Genomic DNA, 24,000 nt, shown 5'->3' with positions numbered 1-24,000 from the left:
GTTAAGAAGCGTGATGATAAATAGGTCATCACAGGTAACTTTATCAGAGGATTCAGAGCACAACTGCCATAAGCCTTCACACAAAAACATGGCATTTATATTTAAGAAAATGATGGTGCATGACTGTAGTCCTAGCTACTCAGGAGGCTGAGATGGGAGGATCGCTTGAGCCCAGGAGTTTGAGGCTGGAGTGAACTATGACTGCACCACTGTACTCCGGCCTGGATGACAAGAGTGAGACCCCATCTCTAAAAAGGGAATAAAGACAAAGATGTTTACACAGACAGGTATATATTTAGTAAGCGTGCAGCACTGGAAATGGGAAGGGGGGAAATAGCGAAGAAAGTACAGGAAGGGAATTATGCAAGAAATCCCCATGTTGTATTAGTTAAGCAAAAGCAATCATAAACAATTAAAGCTGTATGATACAGTGGGACCTTCTAACGCTGCCTAATGCTAAAGGTTAGCTGGTTAATCTCTTTAAGCCTCAGTTACCTAATCTGTACTGCAGAATCTCTGCGACACTGAGCTGAGAAAAAAGTGGCTGTAAAAATCTGAACAAATGCAAACTAAAAACATAATAATGTTAATTTCCTTTTGAAATATAAATTACGATGCCGCTTTAGGGAAACAATTTTTTATGCTGTGTCTCATAATAATATAAATTGTACTATTTGAGTTAAATGTTTTATAATTATACTCTCATTATCTTTTTAATAGCACGAGTCAAGACTTCTGGGAACTTCTGAACATGATTACTATGTGCTAACCCTCCTGGCCCAACCCTTGTTTTCTGTGACAATTCTCTTCCACTGCATCTAATTCATATTTTAAAATAAGCCTCTGCCCAGATTCAGTTATTCCCTGAGGAAGAGGAATGAAAAATATAAAGAAGATATACCAACTAATTCCAGAATATGCAAAATTGCTACTGAAATTGTTAGGACAGTGCAGTTTTGCAGCAAGCTGAGCTTTTAGAAGGGAACATGCTCTCTAATGTAATCTGACCCAAAATACCGATCCTAAGGAGGGACTGACTATCTGAACAAGGGGAAGAAATGACGCCATGGCAGTCAGTGCAAAAGGCAAATTGTCAAGCCACCCAAAACACCACCGTACAATGTCTCATATCAAAAGCAGTAAAAGAAACTTGAATAGTCTCACTCTATCAGATTCATTCTCATTGGAGCTGGTAAATGAGCTATTCTGTGGGAAAAGGCATTCATGAGAGATAAAGGAATAGAAGAGGCTAGAATTAGGCTGCTTCCCTCTTAGTCAGTAATCTGGGTCTACCCCTTTAAACCCTGTGGTCTCAGGAAAGCCTGGAAAATCTATTTTGGGCCTGGATTTTCCCAGATGCAATACCACACAAGGGCACTCCCTTTGTCACCAGACTAATGACTAAATTACTAAAAGCCTGAGGCTTAACATTGTGAACACTTTTGTTTTGATGATGTAAGTGTTGTTTTGACATTAAGTGTGTTTGGTTGGGATAGAGCAGCAAGTGAAACAGCTGGACACATCTGGTAGTGACTGATAAGAACCACAAGTCTCTTCTATCAGCCTCTTGGAAAGAGGAATCCTCCGCATCTCGGAAGCAATTTGCCCTCCGGCCATGCTGCCACCCTGTCACCATGCTACTCTGACCCGCTGAGAGATGTACAGGCTAGCTCCTATTCAGGAAAGGAAAACCCAGTTTTCCAGGAGACCTTGGGCTACTGCACCTAATTCGTGCCCCAACCACAGCCAGAAAAGTAAGAGTATGGGGTTTGCCTTCTACTTGAGGTTGTCTCTTGTCCCCCCTCTGAATTGAGGAAGCGGAGGACAAGAAACGAGCTGAAAGCATACATGTGGACGGGCCCTTTTTCCCTGAATGTAACAGAAATGTAATAAACTAGGTAAAACCAAGCTGTACTAGGTCTAGAACTTAAGTTAACAGCCCTCAGCCATCACTAACTTAAGGAAATCAGTAGTTAAGTGCCACCACTGTCTACATATTCCTCAAGTTACAAACACATTGCAAATATGGAGCTACACACAGCTGCCCCCACTCCCTTACCTTCTCCCGCTTCCCCCCATGAGGTGCGTGCACAGGTACCCCACAGGCTGATGCCCCTCTGCCCCACAGCCCCCCAGAGACAGAAGCAAGGCCACGGACAGGACCCCTGCTGAGGCAAGTAGAGGAAACTGTCCCATTACTCATCCTACAAGCATTATATGAAATCACTATCCTACACTCTCTTCCTCACTTTCTCCTTCGTGGTTGGTGTCCACTGTTTCCTCTAATTTCATTATTCACAGTTATTTCCACTTCAGACCACGTTGCAGTCTTACAAATACATATCCTCTTTACTTCTTCCTTTCCTTCTGTTACCCCGAGTATTTCAGGAAAAAGTCTCTCTCCATTTAAATTGGGATTTCCTCCTCCCTTCCCTCCTCTCAGAAAAAAAAGCTTTACTATCACCAGTGAACATCAAATTAGTCACAGCAATGTAACCGTAATTTTTCAAAGTGGGGGACTAAACTTTTGAAGAGAAAATTAGATTACAAACTGCAGGGATTCTGGTTCAAAGTGGTTGGCGGGGGCACCCATATATTTCCCCTTCCTCCAAAGATACCCTTAAAGTTACAGGTAAGAAATTAAAAAGATATAAATCCAGGGTTCATATCTAGCTGTTATGCAATCGTACAGCCACACTGGTGGTTTAAAATATTTAAATACTCTGTACTGATGAAGAGCTACTATCCCAATGCCCAAAGTGCCCCTCCACTGGTGGATCTCCCTGTCCCATCCACTGGGCCCCCTAAGACATCTCCTCAATCCTATAAAGAGTTAACATTTGACAAAGCTGGAGAACTCAGGGTCTCTGCTCCAGCATCCCTTCTGATTGATCCAGACCTGTTCTACACAGCTTAATAAATATGTTTCATATCATCCATTAATAAACACACAAGAGACATTTCAACAAATCTGTAAAGAGATTCAAAGTGCACCGAGAAACCCTGACTGTTGTAACAGGGTGAAGCAAGCCATGGTCTTAAAAAATATTTTTCTAACTTCTTTCACCTCAACCCACAGTAAAAAGTACATTTTACATGGAGATCGAATACATATCTACATATATGTCTGTGTTTTGGTATAACTAAAACAAATTTTACAAGACAGTGTTTACCCTTACGATGTGCAGGGCACCCTGACGTGTTCTCTTCTAAGCTATTCTTTTCATATAATCTTAAGCCACTACATGTATTTCATGACTTCATGAGTTCTCTAATGGGTTACAACCCGGTAGTTCAAGTACACTGGTCAGGAGTCACTCTGAAAGAGTACAGACACAGAGGAAGCAGTTGTCACAGGGGACCACACAAAGGTTCGGAATACTTAAGCCAAGTAAAGTAAAGGGTGAAAATGAGAAGTAGGGCTGAACAGTGTTATCTCAATTGAAAGCCTATATATGAAGACAACTGTTTTCCCCAACTCAAGCAAGGGAGAAGAAGTCAATGCCTGACTTCAAAGCTTCAAAGGACAGGCTGACTTTCGTTGGTGGCTGATGACTTTAAGTTGAAGCCAATGCTCATTTACCATTCCAAAAATCCTAGGGCTCTTGAGAATTATGCTAAATCTACTCTGCCTGTGCTCTACAACAACATAGCCTGGATGACAGCACATGCGTTTGCAGCATGGTTTACTAAATATTTTAACCCTACTGTTAAGACCTACTTTTCAGGGAAAAAAAAAAAAGAAAAAGATTTCCTTTCAAAATAGTACTGCTCATTGACAATCCACCTGGTCACCCAAGAGCTCTGAATGAGATGTATAAAAAAGTTAACTTTTTTGGTGCCTGCTAACACAACATCCATTCTGTAGCCCATAAATAAAGCAGTGATTTTGACTTTCAAGTCTTCCTATCTAAGAAATGCATTGCTTAAGGCTCCAGCTGCCATAGATAGTGATTCCTCTGATGGATCTGGGCAAAGTAAATTGGAAAACATCTGGAAAGGATTTGCCATTCTATATGCCATTAGAACATTTGTGATTCATGGGAGGAGGTCCAAATATCAACATTAATAAGAATTTGTAAGAAGATGATTCCAACTCTCATGGATGACCCAAAGGTCAAAAGTTCAAGACTTCAGTGGAAGTCACTGCAGATGTGGTGGAAATAGCAGCAAGAGAATGAAAGTTACAAGTGGAGCCTGAAGAAGTGACTGGACTGCTATAATCTCATGATCAGACTTGAAGGGATGAAGAACTGCTTCTTACAGATGAGCAAAGAAACATGGTTTCTTGAGATGGAATCTGCTCCTACTGAAGATGCTGTGAACATTGTTGAAATGACAACCAGGGATTTCTAATATTACATAAACTTAGTTGATAAAGCAGCAGCAGGATTTGAGAGGACTGACTTTCATTTTGGAAGCAGTTCTATTGTGCGTAAAATGCTATCAAACAGCACTGCATGCCACAGAGAAATCTTTCATGAAAGGAAAAGTCAATTGATGTGGCAAACTTCATTGTTGTCTTATTTTACAAAACTGCCAAAGTCACCCCAACCTTCAGCACCCACCACCTTGATCACTCAGCAGACACCAACATCAAGGCAAGACTCTCTACCAGCAAAAAGATTATGGGGCTGGGCTCAAGTCTGTAGTCCCAGCACTTTGCGAGGCCGAAGCGGGTGGATCACCTGAGGTCGCAAGTTCAAGACCAGCCTAGCCAACATGATAAAACCCCATCTTTACTAAAAATACAAAAATTAGCCAGGTGTGGTGCCATCTGTAACCCCAGCTACTTGGGAGCTTGAGGCACGAGAATCACTTCAACCCAGGAGGTGGAGGTTGCAATGAGCCAAGATCATGCCAATGCACTCCAGCCTGGGCAACAGAGTGAGACTCTGTCTCAAAAAAAAAAAAAGCAGAAGATCACATATGATTTGAAGTCTCAGATGATCATTAGCATTTTCGAGCAGTAAGGTATTTTTACATTTTAATTTAAAAATTGAAATTAATTTTTAAACAATTAATGTACATTGTTTTTTAGACATAATGCTATTACACACTTAATAGACTAAGGTATAGTGTAAACATAACTTTTACATGTACTTGGAAACCAAAATATTCATGTGACTTGCTTTACTGGGATACTCACTTTCTTGGGATGGTCTGGATGTGAACCCTCAGTATTTCCCAGTGTGCCTATGATGACTTTGGGAGGAAGGCTGGTGGACAGGGGGTGAAGTAAATAAGCTAAGTCTTCATCTACTAGAGCAAGACATTTTAGAAAACATCTAAAGTGAATAAATCGAGAAGGGGCCATAATGGAGGTAACTATAAGAAGAACTAACAGGACTTGAGGATCAAATCAGCAAAGGGGTGGGGACAGCCAGGGAAGGATTCCAGCAACTTGAAGGTTTCAAGCCCACTGGAAGGATATTTTTGGTTCAAAGCCGAGGGGAAAAGTAAGTGCAATGAGGCGTGCTGAGTCATGTCTGTCAGAAGAAAGGGCCACTCTATTCTCGAGAGGGCAAGAATGATTATGTTAGTTTAGAAACAGAAATGCAGGGTGGATCTCTAAGGAGAGGTTAGGGAAAAGCCTCTGAGTTTAGGAATAGTGACATTCTAGGAGAGGCCAACATCTTCAAATGCAAAAATGTTTCAGGAAAAACAACAGGGAGCCACACAGTCTTGGAGGATACTCACACTTAATGGTAGGGACATAAAGAGAATATAGGAGGCCAAAAAGTCAGAAGAGGAGAAAAACAAGGATCGAGTCAGTTCAAAAATGGTAAGTGGAAGAAAGTTTCTAGGAGGAAGCAGGAGAGGACCACCTGCAAATTACTGCAGAAAACCAAAGGAATAAGAAATTAGGAAAGGCCGCTGGGTTTGGTTGAAGGTCACTAATCTAAACCAACAAGGGCCAGAGAAATCAATAGCGTGGTGTTAGGAATGGTAGGAGCCAAAATATGACTGCATATTATGTGATGGGGAGATACTAGTGACACACAGAAAAGAAAGAACAAGAGAAACAGGCCAGAGGCTGGGGTGTGGCTGGCCATCTAAAGACTTGAATCTGAGGAAACCTCTGTATCTTTGTTAGCAGCAGGGAAACAATCGCATAAAACTGCTTTCCTTAAAAGAAAGAATTAGTCACACACTGTTTACACTGCTGCCTTCCTAGTGGCAATTTTTGGCGCACAGACAGACTAAACTTTTCCATATTTCTACTAAATCCATTATTTGACCTGCAGAGAGGGTGGGAGGATCTGGCAGAACACAAGGCCCTTTCCAGTTAAGAAAAGGGCTTTGGACCTCACAGAAAGGAACCCCCAATAGGCCACAAAAAGTTTCCCACAGAAGTCCAGTCCAACACAATCTAACCCGTTCCCCTGTGTTGAGGGTCCTTAGTTTTATAATCAGGAGTAAGAAAAAGCAGAAGAGGAAACAGGGATTCAGGAGGAAAGTGCAGGGGTCACCTTCAGGCTGCCAGGGCCAGTTCTTCTCCACAAAATTCAAGTGATCAATTGCACCCTGCCTGCCTTCAAGTTGTTGAGAAGGATGGGTGAATGCTACTCAACAAGCAGGATGGGCATTCAAGTAAATTAAAGTGTCAGCTATGATTTGATGCAGAAAATCTCTTCCCCCTGGAGAGTGCTCAAGGGCAATATGCACATAGGGAATGGCAAAGAATAAGCAAACCATTAGGAAGATGCCACATGGCAGCATAACACTCACACACACACACACACACACACACACACACACACACACACGTAAACGGAGACAAGGATTTATGGTCCATGACCCCATCCATATGGAATTACCTATCAGACCAAAACAGAATTAGGAGGTAACAGGCTGCTGATGAAGAGACTAAAGGGAAGCACATGCAGACAATGCAAACAGCATACAGACTACACACATGGTGCATACAGCATACAAACTATGCATACAGACAATGCATACAGCATACAGACTATGCGTACAGACAATGTATACGGCATACAGGCTATGCATACAGACAATGCATACGGCATAAAGACTGTGTATACAACATAGAGACTGTGCATACAGTGCATACAGCATACAGACTGTATACAACATAGAGACTGCATACAGACAGCGCATACAGCAGACTATATATACAACATAGAGACTGCATACAGACAGTGCATACAGCATACAGACTATGCATACAGACTGTGTATACAACATAGAGATTGTGCATACAGACAGTGCACACAGCATAGAGAATCTGCATACAAACAGTGCATACAGCATACAGATTATGCATACAGACAGTGCATACAACATACAGACTATGCATACAGACAATGCATACAGCATACAGACTGTGTATACAACATAGAGACTGTGCATACAGACAGTGCATACAGCATACAGACTATGCCGACAATGAATACAGCATACAGACTGTGCATACACAGTGCATACAGCATACAGACAGTGCATACAGAGCATTACAGATTGTGCATACAGACAGTGCATACAGCATACAGACTGCATACAGACAATGCGTACAGCTTACAGACAGTGCATACAACATATAGACTGTGCATTCAGCATACAGACTGTGCATACGGACAGTGCATACAAACAGCATATACAGACTGCCAGTAAAGAATATGGGAAAACCAGAGTATGCCAGAAAAACACAGCAAAAGTAAAATGAAAGGAGCAAACACAAAGTCAGGAAAATGGGAGAAATGAAAATATAAGAGAAAGACCAATAAAAATTGTCTTCGACTAAATGAGATGAAAGAGACAAAAGGGATTGAGAAATTAAAATGAAAGAAGGTAGATATTTGAGGGAAAAAATATAGAAAATAAGCGATTTTTAGTAATGGTCATTAAGAAACATGATCAACACAACCAAGTAATTCCAAATCTTCCTTTACCAGTGGTTCTTAACCAGGGGCTGTATTTGCTTCTCAGGGACACTTGGCAATGTCTGGAGACATTTTTAAGTGTCAAGACTTGGAGATGGCAGCCTGGCATCTACTGGGAAAAAGCCAGGGATGACACTAAGTATCCTATAATGCACAGAACAGCCCCCCACCCCAACAGAAAAAGTACCTGGCCCAATATATCAATAGTTCCATGGTTGAAAACTAGCGCTCTAAACGTGGGCTACTATCACCAAACTATTACAACAGATATGAATGAAGAGCCAATGACAGACAGGTTTACAGAGATGATGAGGCCAGGCACACAGAAATTTCGACCCTGGAGAAGGAGGAGATCAAAACTGCACAACCTCCAAATGTGTCCTCTGGATGCCCCATTAGGCCAGAGAGGTGGCCCTATACTCAAGTTGCCTGGACACAAGACATATCCTCTTCTCTTCTATGTTTAATTGTCAAAGCTACGTGCTAAAAAAAGCAGATATCCTATCTGCAAAGGATGAGGTAACTGTGTTCAAAAATTCTGAAAAGCACAGTACACCGAAATCATCAAAACCTTGAACTGAGTAAGTTATTTAACAAGCAACCATTGAAAGAGATATTGTTAATAACTAAACTCCTGAGTTTCTCAAAAAACGAGCTACTACATTTGGTTACTGAGGAGAGCTTATCTAAAACCAAATTAAAAAGAAATTGTAGCCATCTCCTATTTATCTAAACTAACAAGGGCCAGAGAAAACCTAACTAATACAATCCAAAAAAAAATTCAAAATGTAAACAGTTGAGTAATTAAGGCTCCTAGCCTATTGGGGAAATGCCAATCACGAGACTTTTTAACTGAATTCTAAGAACCAAACCTGAGCTCTACCACTTATCATGGGAAGGAAGGGAAGAATTACCTCAACTCCTTCATAGTGATATAAGGGTAATAACATCGCCTCACAAAGTTAATGCAGAAACGATAAGGATGAGTGATTTCTTTTTATGATGGGTGAAAATATCTAGCACAATACCTGATATTCAATTCTTTCACTCCTCTTCCAATAACGACAAAACAAAAACAGAATTTCATCCCTCTGATAATATTAGATTTCTATTCAAAGACTGCCTAAGTGTATACTTAAGAAAAAAGCAAAGCTTACTTTCTAAAGTTTCATTAAATATAAGCTTCACTTAAAATTTTTTTTGAAGTTATTTGTAAACAATGAGCTCAGAATTTGCAAAGCCCCATTCAGCAATCCTAGGGTCAGCTGTTCACACTCCTTAATACCTAATGAGTTTGTAAGAGTCAAGGAACCTAGCCCTACAAGCACTGTGAAAAATCAGTTTTGCAGCTCTTCAAAAAGCTATTAAGCACAGAATTACCATATAATTTGGCAATTCTTCTCCTAAGCACTGAAAGCAGGGTCTCAAACATACTTATGTTCCACTGTTCACTGCAGCATTATTCATAACAGCAAAAAGGCAGAACCTACAACCCAAATGTCCTGGGACAAAGAACAAACAAAATGTGGTTTGTCCATGCAATGGAATATTATCTAATCCTAAAAAGAAATGAAACTCTAACACAGGCTACAACACAGATGAACCTTGAAAACATCATGCTAAGTGAAATAAGACAGACATAAAAGGACAAATGCTGTATGATTTGATTCCACTTCTATGAGGTCTCTGAAATAGGCAGATTTATAGACAGAAAATAGAGTAGAGGTTATCACCAGGGGTTGGGGGAGAGAGAGAGAGAATTACTGTTTAATAGGTAGAGTTTCTCCTTGGGGTGATGAAAAGTTCTGGAAACAGAAAGTAGTGATGGTTGCACAGCACGGTGCATGTACTTCCATGAACTGTACAATGAAAATGGTTAAGATGGCAAGTTTTACATTACATATACTTTACAAAAATTTTTTAAAACTACATAAAAAAGGCAATTATACCCTAGATTCCTTGAAAAAAAAAAAGTCAGGTACCACAGTGAATGAGGGAAAAAGAAGCTGGGTTTCTTGCCCCCCCTGCCCCCATCCTTCATATTTCTGGATGACACAGTGTCAAGTCTTGTTCATCTCAGCCAATTTCAAATATGTCTTTATCCCCTTTTAGGTAACCATTTGAGATGCCAATTCTGGAGTAGCAGCTAGGTATATACTTCTATCCCACATGTTATCAACTTCATTTTTACTCCTCCTGCACTCTCGCACTCTTCACTTAGCTGTTCCCATGAACCACAGCATGAGCTGTCAGTCTCTGTAGCCGGAACACGTTATGCTCTCCAGTGATGCTCCTCTTATCGCATTGTGAGGAATTAACATCCAGTTTGCCAGATGTCAGACATAACCTTTATCCACTTACCTGGGAGAACTCTCCTGCCTAATTTTGCTCACTCCCCAGATTATTCTCCCACTGCATTGCTGTAGTGGTTGATTTACATGATTGTTTTATTGAACTCTCCACCTCGCACCCTAATGGAAGCAAGAGACAGTCATGGATTTTGGTTTCGGATGCTAATTTTATCTATTCCCCCTTGTGACCTTTAAGCCTAGAAGAATGGAAAAGGTAGTGGGAAGATGTCAGAGAAGCTGTTCGTTCACAATTTTCCCTCTTACTAGCCAGCACCTTCCTGACACTAAAGCACTATGAGAGGCACCCACAGAGTCAAGGATAAATCCAATGGGTAGGAGGACCCAAGCACCTACTTCTCCAGGACAGGCATCCACGTGGCACATGGTGCTCAACACAGGGGAAGAATAAACAGTACTACACAGGATCTGGGAAACTCAAATCATCCATCTGCCCGTGCCGCTGAATCTCTGAGAGCCCTAACTCAAATGTTACCAAATTCCTCTAAGTCTCAGTCTCTTCATTTATGAAGTACAGGACTCTATGAGATATCTCTATAGTCCTCCAGCTTTCAGAGTTCAACTAGCACATCAAGAACTGTAGCTCCAAAACTGTTCTCCAGTCACACCAAAAAAATATTTCATACGGGAAAATTTTTTAAATGTAATATACAAGTAGATATCTGTTCAAATTAGGAAGAGAATCTCTCAGGGTTTTATTTTCCCACATTCAAGCTAAATAAAATAAACTAAATAAAAAGGGAAAATTCTTTCAATTTTTAAGGTGAATGCAAGAAACTCTGTTTTTCTCAAATGGCCTTGTTTTTTTTCTATTACAATTGCTGCTAAACTAGGTCACCTAAGTAATAAATATTGAAAGCATTTAACCAAATTCAAACATCTGTTCCAATCCCCTTTTAGGGCTTGATCCAGCTGAAACAAAATATCTACTGCCCTACAGGACCTGCAAGATCCTCTAACACTGCTGAAAATGTTGGAGGGTTTTTTTCCCCTAAAGCCAATATATCTGGAGAAAAAAATATATGGCTTATTTCAATATGTCTGGAGCACAAGTACAAAATTATATGAGAAGCTGCAAAATCTGAACAAGTAAATCTTCTTATACTAGAACAACAGGACTCATAGCCAAACTTCAGTTGGGTATGTACCCAATTTAAGCCTCAACTTGGTAGGTCTGTTCAGAGAACATGGTGAAGGTAGTGCCTCTACAGTTCCCATATATACCAGGAGAGCCTTGCTCTGAGGCTAGTTGCCCTACTTTGCATTGGAATTTCTAAGCAAATAATGCAAGTTTGACTTTCGGAAAAAATATATTGACTTTATAAAGTAAAAATCATTTGTGGGCCAGGCGCGGTGGCTCACACCTGTAATCTCAGCACTTTGGAAGGCCAAGGTGGGCGGATTACCTGAGGTCAGGAGTTCGAGACCAGCCTGGCCAACAGGTGAAACACCGTCTCTACTTAAAAAAAAAAAATACAAAATTCACTGGGTGTGGTGGCATGCGCCTGTAGTCCAAGCTGCTCAGGAGGCTGAGGCAGGGGAATCACTAGAACTCAGGAGGCAGAAGTTGCAGTGAGCCGAGATCGCACCACTGCACTTAGCCTGGGCAACAGAGTGAGACTCTGTCTCAGAAAAAAATCATTTATATATAAAAAGACACCATAAAGTTAATAGTTAAATAATACATTTGAAAAATATCTGCAATGCACATGAAAAATTAGGGCATAAGATACAGAAGTTTCCCACAAAGTGATAACAAGACAAATTGGTGATTCAATGCAAATAAAACAAAGCCCAATAGGAAAATGGACAAAGGACATGAATAAGCAATTCACTAAATAAATCTAAATGACTGTGATATATGAAACAATGCCCACCCGCACCAGTACTGAGGAAAAGGCAATCATAATGAGATTACATTTGCACTCACCTTGCTAATTAATTAGCAAATAATTTTTCTTAAAAGAACTATTGTCATGGGGATATAAAGTCGGGGGAGAAGTATACTCTGGAATCCCTAATAGAAACAAGAATTGTAACAGACTTTGGAAACCAATCTGTAAAAAGTTAAATCAAAAACTGATGTACTCATTGACCTACTAATCACATTCTTTAAGAAATAATAGTCTAGTATGTAAGGATATATATTTAACATGGTTATTAAATGACTGTTTATAACAGCAAAAAGAAAAACTACCAGAAACTAAATATTCATTAACAGAAGATTCATTCAATAAATCAGCACATTTACAAAATGGAGTGCTATATAACCACTAAAAATGAATCCTGTCAATGCTAGGGAGGAACTTCTATGCTGTATTTTAAGTGAGAAAATCAAGGTGTAGAAACATTAACATACTATATCCTTATTGTTTATTAAGCACTAAAAAAGTTAAAGATAATTATATAGACAGAAGAAAAACACAGGTTATCCACCACATTATTAATACTACTTATTTGTGAAGGAGAGTGGTACCATTATAAAGTGGGAAAAGCTAAAAAACAAAATAAAGTTGAATTTTAACAATGTCTATGATTTTTTTAAAAACATGGTATTCCAGTGGCGTAAAATGATATGTGTATTTCATACATAAATGCATAAACAGATGATCAGAAACAAAATAACTCCAATGATCCCGCTTGATTGTCACTGCAGGGGTCTTCAAACTAGGCACCATACCCAAACAGTACAAAATACAATGCTGGGATACAAGAGAAAAATACTAGAACTTTACATATTGACTTTTATTTTATCTGTAGTTATGTTATTTCATCCACTTGAACTATTTTTAGGATGCTTTATATTATTAATATGTTGCCTTAAAAGATGCATATATAGGGTAATATTGAAACATTTTAGCTGATAAACATACACAATTTAAAAGTTTAGAGACCACGGTGGATACATTAAAGCAGAATAATTTTTAACATCAAGACTCCTTCAAGAAAGTTTTGATTACAGAATCTATAGGCAAATATGATTCTATAGAACCTGTAGGCATATATGATTCTATAGAAAAAATTACTAGAGCCATTGTTTCTACTAGGATTGGGTTTATCAGTATCTTCCTCTCCCTTCCATCCCCACTCCTTCTACCCTATAAGAGTCACCAAGTTATCAGAGCAGGACTTCTCAGATAGAAAACCACCACCACCACCTGCTATCACTTTCTCTTTTTTTAGTTTTGATTTGTTTTAAAGAGATGAGGGTCTCACTACGTTGCCTAGGCTGGCCTTGAACTCCTGGCCTCAAGTTATCCTCCTGCCTCAGCCTTCTGAGTAGCTAGAACTAAAATCATGCACTTTCCTGTGCTCAGCTACTTTCTGTCACTCTCATATGTGATCTACCTACACCCATCACCACCAATTCCTTTCCATTCTCTTACAAGTGGATTTTCACAACATCATCTGCTAAATTCCTCTCCCAAATAATCCTGTGAGAATGACTCTAAGAATAAACCAACATACACTTTAAAAACTCTGAAAACTACAAAGCACCATTAAAATTGCCACCAATGATCCTGTTGTCGTTCTTGTCAGGATAATAGGTTGGCAGAACTCACAATTCTTGAGATCCCAATAGCATTTGTTGCAAAAATCTTACATTTTTACATATATTACATCTATGTTTGTAATAAACCCCACACCACTCTATTATATTGAGTTCCCATCCAGTGTCCTTCTCCTTAAGCCTAAAGAAATTCCTTCAGAAATTCTTGCTGTAGAGATGTACTACAACAAATTGTCTCCATTTTCATTTTTATGAAAATATCTTATTTCACCTTCATTTTTGGAGGATTTTTCTTTGGATACAGAATTCTGAGTATAGATAGTTTATTTTCTAGCACTTTAAAAATGTCATTCCACCATTTTATGACCTACTTTGTACCTGATGAGAAGTGATCATTTGTACTATTGTTCCAATCTATGTAATATGTCTTATGACTCTGGCTGCTCTCAAGATTTTCCTTTATCTTTGGTTTTCAGTTGTTTTATTATGCAGTGCCCAGGTGTGGTTTCCTTTTTATTAATCTTGCCTGGGGTTTACTGAGCTTCTTTGATCTCTAAATTTATGTTTTTCACCTAATCTGCAAGACTGTCTAATACTATCTCTTTAAACATTTTTCTTGTTACATTTGCTCTCTTCTTACCTTCTGAGACTACAATTACATATATGTTAAATTACATGACATTACTCCAACAGCACTGAGATTTTATTCATTTTTCTTTAATAATTTTTCTCTTTGTTTTCTAGATTAAATAATTAATATTGATCTATCTTCAAGGCCACTTACCCTTTCAAACTTCCACCTGTTTTTTAATGTTTTCTATTTTTCTATTAAAAATTCCCCCATCTTTTGTTTCATTAAGATCATATTTTAAGTCCTTGGGCATATTTATATATATATGCTTTTTAAGTCTTGTGCACTAATTCCAACATCTTCAGTCATCTTAGAGCTGTTTTCTACTGATTGTTTTATCTCTTCTCTATGAGTCAAATTTCCTCTTCTTCTCATGGTTATTATTAGGTACAGTATTTCATGAATATTATTTTGCGGAGACTCTCTATCTTACTCTAAATAATGTTAATTATTTTGTTGCCCAGGCAGTTACTTGGCTAGATTCAAACTCCAAATTATCTTTCCTCTATAGTGTGCAATAGCTCAGTTCTTTCAGCTTTCCAGCTGTTGCTTTTCACTAGGAACTTTGGAGTCTCCCCAGGATCAGCCAAGAAATTTGGGAAGAGTTTATATATAGATGTTTGGGGGTCCCTTCTTTCTTTAGTTAACTTCCCTCCAATTTCAGTCTGCTTTTTATTGCTCTCAAATGCCTTCAAATAGTTCACTTTATATTTTGTTCAGAGTTTGTAATTGTCATCTGTAGTGCCATTAGTCTGATAAGAAAAATTTGCCCCATCTATATCTTAAAAACACATTTCCTTTATTCAAGATCACTATTGTTATATACTGATATATATTTTCTTGCTTTAAAAAAAGCACAGAATAAAACCATTCTTTGTTCATTTTTAAGTAATTAGACTACAAAAGGGGCAGTAAAGTTCTTAGTTTTTGGTTTCATAGCAACAGTTTACTTACACTAGAAAAACTATATAGTGTATAAATTTGGAAATAATTCCATCTCATTATGCATATTTGCATTTGGTAATGGAGTTATTTTTAAAGTGAGGAGAAATATATTCTCGTTAGAGGAATGGGTAAATGCAACTTTTTTTTCATTTGGAAGATGGCATTACCTTGCACATTAGCTCAGAAAGCCATTGGGTTTATAACCATGTGCAGTGCAACTCATGAAAGCAGTCTGTTTGCCAAGGCCAAGGGGATTCATCACATCTCTGGCAACTGGGGAATCTGTAACCTCTAACACACTGAATAATAAAATAGCATTATTATGTGGTACTCACAGAGTACTGCAAGCCAATTACAGTAAATGACTTTATGTAATTCCCCAGACCTTATCTGTAACTCATGTGATAATGGTCTAGTACTCTACATTCTTGAAGGAGGCCAGTTGTAACTTCACCGATGAAAAGCAGTGTTCAGACAGCTAAAAGGGACTTAGGAAATCACCTAGTCCAGTCTCCTCATTCTACAGGTGAGGAAACTGATTGCAAAAGAAATTAAATAACTTATGCAACATCAAAAAATTAAGTAAATGTCAACAATGGCAGAAACAAGTCTAGAGACAACTGCTTGTTCCAATATCTTACATTAGGTCTCCTAGATACAGCAAAAATTTAAAATTTTTTTAAAAAAGTATCAGAGACAAAAATCTTAAGGGAAGAAGGAAACTGAAACAGAAATCCCCTAAATTTTGACTCTCTCACTGTTTTGCATGATTGGGCTAATTTAACCTTCTTATGTCATTGAAGAAGAGATACAAAATAAATTTATTCCAAACAAGTTGTTTTGCAGAACTATTAATAAAAAAATTGTAAATAGTCTGCAAATATGAAAAACTCTAAAAGCTTTATTGAAAGTTATATATCATTAACTTACATTACTAACCCACTACCTTGTATTGCCAGAACCCATTTATCCTGTTAAACTCTCTTTTTACATCTTTAAGTTTCACATTAAATTACTTATGTAGGACCCAGGAGATGCTGAGTTCTAAGTCCCACTTTGTTGAAATGTTAAAAAGAAAATAAAAAGAACTAGTTATGTCCACATTTCTAAAATATATTGCTATCATGAGATTTCTTATGAATGCCAAGGCAAGTTTTGAGATGATGATGATGATGATGATAATCATCATCATCATTACTGTATATGACTCTAATAGTTCTCAGTGGAATTCAATTAGCTGGCTTCTGATAACTGTAGCTTCACAATTATGATTTCTCTTTGCAAGAAATCATTGTTATTTTTAAACCAAAGAACAAGAGTAATTTCTCTTTATATATACACTCATATATGTATATACACATGTGCGTACATATATACATATGTTATATTCATTGCCTAGGGTCTTAAGAATGAAATCAAGAGAACAATTTGGAAACATTTACACTGGCAAATGCGGAGCCCATGAAGGTAAAACATTAAAAATGTTTTGAGCAGGCGTATCCTAGTTGCCAAAAAAAAGAAAAAAAAACTGCCAAGAGAATGTTTCAAAATGCTTGAATTGTTCCAATTGTGTAATTTTTTTTCAACTGTTTCCACCAGGCGGTAAATAAAATCCCATTAGAATCCGTGAACAACAGGCTATCTCACTGAATAGGAGGGAGAGCAGGGGAAAACAATATGGAGGGGAAAGAGGGGCAAGCCAAAGACGTTTGCATTTAACCATCTTAACCGCTGTAAATCAAATATTTTATTTTACTCACTTATTTCCCCTTGAAAATACATGTAAGTGAAACAAAAGCTTCATTCAAATATACCAGGGACTGCTTAGAATGTTATGAACAAAATGCTAGTTTGTTGAAAGACACGTTCCACTTCAGAAAATGTCTGCTGGAGTTCGTGTGGGTGCCACATGGTCTTCTAATAGAGTGGATGCTCTGTGGGGTGGTCTCTTACTCCCTGGGTTCCCTCCCCTCCACCTGTGACAGAAATGAAAGGAATTTATGAAACTATAAGTGACTGAAACATTCCCCCTAAAAGGAAGGAGTGCAGGTCTATGAATCAGTTCCTTGAGGGCAGGTGGGATTTGTATAATAAAGAACAAAATATACTAGCAGAAAATAGGTCCAGGTAGGTTGGGAGGGTGGGGAAGAGAGGTGGTCAGAAGAATTTGAGAATTTAGGGTCATGGAAATGGGGACTTTTTGGAGGCAGCTGCTGTATGCAGAGTTCGAGAGCAATGGGGAGAGAGGATTTCAAGTTCTTCTGTGGGATCCAGGAGCTCCTCAAATACTCCTTCCATTTAAACTAAAACTGAAGATAAATTACTGATGTTCTCTCTAAGACTAAAAATTCCACCTATGAAACATCCTTCCAGTATTTATTCCTTCCAAGAAAAAACATTCATCCCATTGTTTGTATATAATACAGATGATGAGAGAATGGGATAAAAATCAGAAGGCAGGGAGTGAGGAATAACCCAGAAGGCTTAATGTCTGGAGTTGTCAACACCTATTTGATGGGAGTCTATATTGTAATTCTAAACCTTCCTTTTTTGCTTCAAAGCCCAGGCTGAAAGGTTTGTGAGTTTTACAAGTTCTAACACAAGACTATCTTTTCAATAAACTTGGTATTTTAAAAAGAACTTTATCATGGCATGCCACAGACTGTCAAAGACAGACAGAACTCAATAAAGAACAGATCCTTTACATATGGATAACTAGTAAAGGGACGGGATCTGAGTGAGCAGGGTCTCTGGGTGCCTTGGAATTCTGTGACAAACTGTGTGTGTGTGTGTGTGCGCGTGTGTGTGTGTGTGCATGCGCACGTGCACGCACAGCACAAGGTGTGTTTTTGGCAGATTGTTAAAGGGGTCCATAATTTTTTTAACGGCAAAGAACTATAGAACAAGATTACCTACTACTACAATTTGTAGTAGGTAATTTCCCTCACAATTTGTAGATGAAAAACTCAAGATGTAAAAAGGCTACTCTCCACAGTCACACAGCTAGAGGTGCCCCACGCCTGGCCAGTGCTCTCTCTTGAGCTGGGGGTAATGTGAGGACTCCCTCCCAGGGCAACAGGGGAGGCCCCAATCAGGGAACATCAGAATGAAAATTCACTCTGAAAGTGGAACTCCAAACAGCACCAAGAAAAGCTCAGAAAGTTTCCCTGGAAGAGCTCAGGAGGCAGATTATGAAACTGGACTAAAGACTGGGAAATCCAGACCCAAGAGACACAAATAGGACAGATGCTCTGAGAACACAGAACTTCCTTCGGGCGATTAGTCAGAGGATTCGGCACCAAGTACAGGGGATTCTTGCCACCATCCTTGAGTATATTACAATTCAGCATTATACTCTGGTAAAAGCAATGCTTAATTTCCACCTAGAAGTGTTCATAAGCAGCATTTATTCAGCTAAGACTTACTGATTAACTACCATGTGCCAAGGATACAAAGATAAAAGAGAGAACAGAGAATAGTGAAGAGAGTACAGATGTTGACCTTGGACCGCCTTACGTAGGAACCTCAGCTCTTCTACTCATGGGCTGAGTATCCTCAGGCACTATTTACCCATCTTTGGCTTAGTTGCTTCATCATTAAAACAGAGAGAGACCAGAACTCAAAGGGTCTCTGTTACTACTAGTATTAACACAATATCTATGCTTAAGCTGCTCATAGACCAGAGAGAACTAGGAACAATTAACTACTTACAGCCCCACAGGACCAGAGGCTACCAGAAATATAGGAAGTGTCCATGGGAGGAGATGACACACTCCCCACGACCACCAATGAGAGTCATGCAAACATACATTGCATGCACACACATACATACACACACGTAGACACACATTAAGTACCAGGCAAACCTCCATTCATACAGCTTTCTGGACATGGACAGGGAGGCTCCACAAAAGTGCTGCTACCCAGAGGCATAGCATTCCTAGATGGTTCTTAAGTACAATTAGAGCAGCATGGGGCATGAAGAAGTCTGTGCACACTATGGAAGCCAAGCCTGACTCAAGCAGCATCCTCTCAGGTCATGCATTACTGCAAATCTGTATTTCCACATTCTGCCCCAACTGCTAGCCAAGGGGAGGGAAAACTGACTCAACAAGGTAATCCTTTTAAACCCAACTGTACCAGCAAGTGCCTTCCCTCTCCTTGCAGAGCTATATGAAATGGCGTTGAGTTATATTTCATTGCTATTTTATTATAGTTGGACTTTAGAGTTAAGGTCAGAATTCTCTCTGTATGCTATCTCACTAAAAGCACCCCACCGCCTCAACCCCTCCTTTGAAGACAGCAAAGATCATCAACAGGGTAACGTGACCTATTCTAGCCTCCCTACCCCCTAGTTACACAACCACGGACAAATCACTTAAACTTTCCAAGCCTGTTTCCCTATCTCTAAAATGGGAACCATAATAGTAGCTACCTCATGACATTGTGATGAGAATGAAATGGGTAATTCACGAACAGCATTTAGTACTGTGCCCAACACACACTCGGCATTCAGTAAATGTCATCAATTTTCACAAGAAACTACACTTGAGATAGCACTCAAGAGTTAAGAGCAATGTCACAAGCGCGAAGACAGATTCGGCATACCATACATCAGATCCCCATTATGAGAATATCAGTCCACCAAAGGCAACACCTGTGATCCCACCAAGTGAGTTACTGATGTGCCATGAAATGTCCAGGAAAAAGGGCCAACTTTCAAGCCAATGATAATAAACACAAAGAATATCTTCAAAGTCTTTCCCACTCCGTCCAATTACTCAAATATGAAACATTTCACCATGTCTGAAAGACAGAGCAAATGAAACAGTGGAATTACCCTAATTTTCCAACTCTCTTCTGCTGCAGAAATTAATAATATTCTTCCAGAGAAAACAGAAACTCTTTTTAAATGTAAAAGTCTAGTAGGTCTAAAATGCGGGTTAAATGTATATAAAACACGTAACATCAACTAGGTTTCATTTCAATAAATATCAGCAAACTCATCAAATGTATTTTAATCAGGTGTATTTTGATCAAACTATAGACAAGTTGTTCCATTCTTGTGTGGCTGTTGTAACTTTATCAAGTAATAGGGCTTGCTCAGCTCAGCAATGCTTCATTTGGTATACGTTTACTGCACTGTTTGAAAAGCAAATGTTATCTTTTTAAAAATATATAAACATATTGGTGAAAAGTGTCCCTGATATTGACAGAAATCATCAGTTTTTAAAAACAAAAGTAATTTACGTCAGGAACCATAGCATAAAGAAATAAGAAAATTCACTTATGTGCTACATATTAATAGACTTTAGTTAGTAATATCTGATTCAACATGAGATGTGTATAATGACACAATTTTTATCTGGCTCAATATTTTAATATAGCTTTATGAGTGACTAGGACAGGGTTTCTCAGCCTCAACACTATTGGCACTTAGTGCCAGGTAATTCTCTGTTGTAGGGGGCTATCTTGTGCACTGCAGGATGCATTGGCAGCATTGGTGGCCTCTGCCCACTAGATGCCAGTAGGACCCTCCCCCAAGCCATGACAACTAATGATGTCTCCAGACATTGCCACATGTCACGTGGAGGGCAATATCACCCTACTCAAGTATCGCTGACTCTAGTGTTTCCTTCTCAATTTGATCTAAAAGGCACTAATGAGAACGGAAAATAAATGTTCTATGCTGCTTTTATGTGCCAGGGACTCTGCTAGGTATGTCATCTCCAATCTCATATTTTGTCCCCACTATGAAAAAATCCAAGCTTTTCCCACTTTGTCATACATTTTCTTTTCTTCTTTTCTTTTTCTTTTTTTCTTTTTTTTTTTTTTTTTGAGACTGAGTCTTACTCTATCACCCAGGCTGGAGTGCAGTGGTGCGATCTTGGCTCACTGCAACCTTTACCTCCCGGGTTCAAGCGATTCTCCTGCCTCAGCCTCCCGAGTAGCTGGGATTACAGGCACCTGCCACCACACCTGGCTAATTTTTGTATTTTTAGTAGACACAGGGTTTCAACATGTTGGCCAGGCTGGTCTCAAACTCCTGATCTCAAGTGATCTGCCCGCCTCGGCCTCCCAAAGTGCTGGGATTACAAGCATGAGCCCCTGTACCCAGCCTGTCACGCATTTTCAATGCACAACTACTTTTAAATTATATAATATTTTAAATGATATATTCTTGTCATCTTGACCATGATCAAATAGCATACAAGTCCCCAATTTTTGAATTTTAGTTTCACTCATTTGTCACTAATAAAGATCTACATTCATTTCTTGCTACCTTTATGTACCTGTTCATTAATTCACTCAACAAATATATATTAAGTCCCTACTGTACACTGTTCTAAGCCAAGGGATCCAGTAAAAACAAGATGGACTAAGACCTTACCCTCATGAAGCTTACAGTCTAGGGATACATTTCCAAACAGAGCGGAACACATGCAGGCGTCAGCATGTGCAAATCAAGAATGTGCCTAAGCATTTTCTACTTCAAGACTCTGTCTCCAAGAACACACTGGTCCTTTTTTTTTTCTTTTTTTGAGATGGAGTCTCGCCCTGTCGCCAAGGCTGAAGTGCAGTGGCATGATCTCGGCTCACCGCAACCTCCGCCTCCCGGGTTCAAGTGATTCTCCTGCCTCAGCCTCCAGAGTAGCTGGGATTACAGGCACGCGCCACCATGCCTAGCTAATTTTTGTATCTTTAGTAGAAATGGGGTTTCGCCATGTTGGCCAAGCTGGTCTCGAACTTCCAACCTCGTGATCCACCCGCCTTGGCCTCCCAAAGTGCTGGGATTACAGGCGTGAGCCACCGCGCCCGGCTCACTGTCCATATTTAACAAGAGACTTCTTTGGCATTATTCCATGCCATAAAAGCAATCACTTCAAATCCCTATTTGTAAAACTTTGTATTATAGCACTTGACATGCCTGGTGCTTTCCAGGAATTTTACCAAAGTGAATGCCTAAAGACTGAAGTTTACTATTTCAGCACCAAATTTTTAAAAATTCATTTTAACTATACGTAATAGAATTTTTTCCTGTGTACCAGACAACATCAGTCCAAGCCCTAATCTTTACTCTGACACCATACATTGTATGTTTAAGTCAAATCCAATTTTTGGAGGTCTTTAACTTCTTAAAATAGTAATTAGAACATGATGGTATGGCTCATAAAGTAAACTCATTTCCATTTCCGAAAACTCGAGAAATGCACTTAACAAATAATTAAAGGAAAGCAAATTCTGCTTGGATAAACTCCATCGGCACTTTATAAACAATGTGACTTATATTTCTGGTCAGCTTTCTGAAAGATGGTTTGAGACACAGCTATCATTTACATTCTGTTTCTTCCATGATTGAAGCTGGGGGCAGGACAGAGGGTGGGAGTGGTAAGTGATCTGAAGTCAAGAAAATCAGAGATTTCTGGCCTCAGGTCTAAGACTGATTTATTCTCTGTTACACAATAAATTCCCCCATCTTAAAACAAAGTAATTCTCTCATCTTAAAGTAGAATGTATAACCTATTACTTAAGTCTGTTTGGAGAAGCAAAGGAAACCATTATTTTGAGAGGACTTTGAAAATGCTGAAAGTGCAACAGTGGTAAAGGTAAATAGAACATAAGTGAGGCTAGGTGCAGTGACTCATGCCTGTAATCCCAACACTTTGGGAGGTGGAGGCAGAAGAATTCCTTGAGGCCAGGAGTTCAAGATTAGCCTGGGAGACAGAGTGAGAGCACACCTCTACAGAACATTTTTTTAAAGTAGCCAGGCACTAACTGTAGTCCCAGATACTCGTGAGGCTGAGGTGGGAAGATCACTGGAGCCCAGGAGCCATGATCATGCCACTGCACTCCAGCCTAGGTGACAGAGAAAGACCCTTTCTCCAAAAAAAAAAAAAAAAAAAAAAAAGCATAAAGGAGGGACAGCCTGGTGCTTCTGTGTCCAGAATCCGAAATGCTGGTGAAATTGGACACCAAAGAAGACTCTAAGAATAATCTCTGTGATCAAGTGCCCACACTGGGTGAATCTGTATTTATAACCACGGAAGCTAAAACACAATGCAAATATCCACAAGATGGGGATATTCTTCCACCAAAAAAAATAAATAAATATATAAATAAAAAGACAATGTGTTAGTTTATTTTCCTTTGCCAAAAGTTAAGAGATGGCAGGTGGCCCAACGAGACAAGGAAGTGAAAATCACTTTACTGAGCCAACAGAAATCACGCTTCTTAATGCTCCTTGTGAATTAAAACTTGCCAACAAAGCCAGTAGAGATAACAATTGTATTAAAGATAAAAATAGTTAAAGGATTACATCACTAAGCTTATAGAAAGCCTACCGTGCGGTGCTGCCCAGAAGTCTTACAGCTGAACCCTGTGTTCACTAGTTGCAATAAAGAAATAAATGAGAACACGACACACTAGTATCAAGGACTTATTCACCGCAGTCTCGGGTCTCATGTATGTCGCCATAACCACAAGGTCATAAGCCTGAGGAAGTCAATGGCAAGCTCCATTATTTCCCCTCCTGGGCCTGCTGCTGCTACACTCCTTAGAGCAGGCACCAAATGGATTCTGGAATTGGTGTTAAGTCATGCTACGCTGACCTCTGATGAAGGACCCCTGTTCCGGTAA

The 24,000-nt window shown here is 39.2% G+C and overlaps 1 protein-coding gene across 38 annotated transcripts in view; it reads right to left on the bottom strand.

The window, feature by feature from the left end:
* LTBP1 (latent transforming growth factor beta binding protein 1) overlaps nucleotides 1-24,000 on the bottom strand; it is a 452,557-nt gene that overhangs the window by 289,153 nt on the left and 139,404 nt on the right. The window lies entirely within an intron of this gene.

The sequence above is a fragment of the Homo sapiens genome, chromosome 2, assembly GCF_000001405.40.
Source record: "Homo sapiens chromosome 2, GRCh38.p14 Primary Assembly".
NCBI lineage: Eukaryota > Metazoa > Chordata > Mammalia > Primates > Hominidae > Homo > Homo sapiens.
The sequence above is the reverse complement of the archived record's forward strand: the minus strand, read 5'-3'. Positions and strand labels throughout refer to the sequence as shown.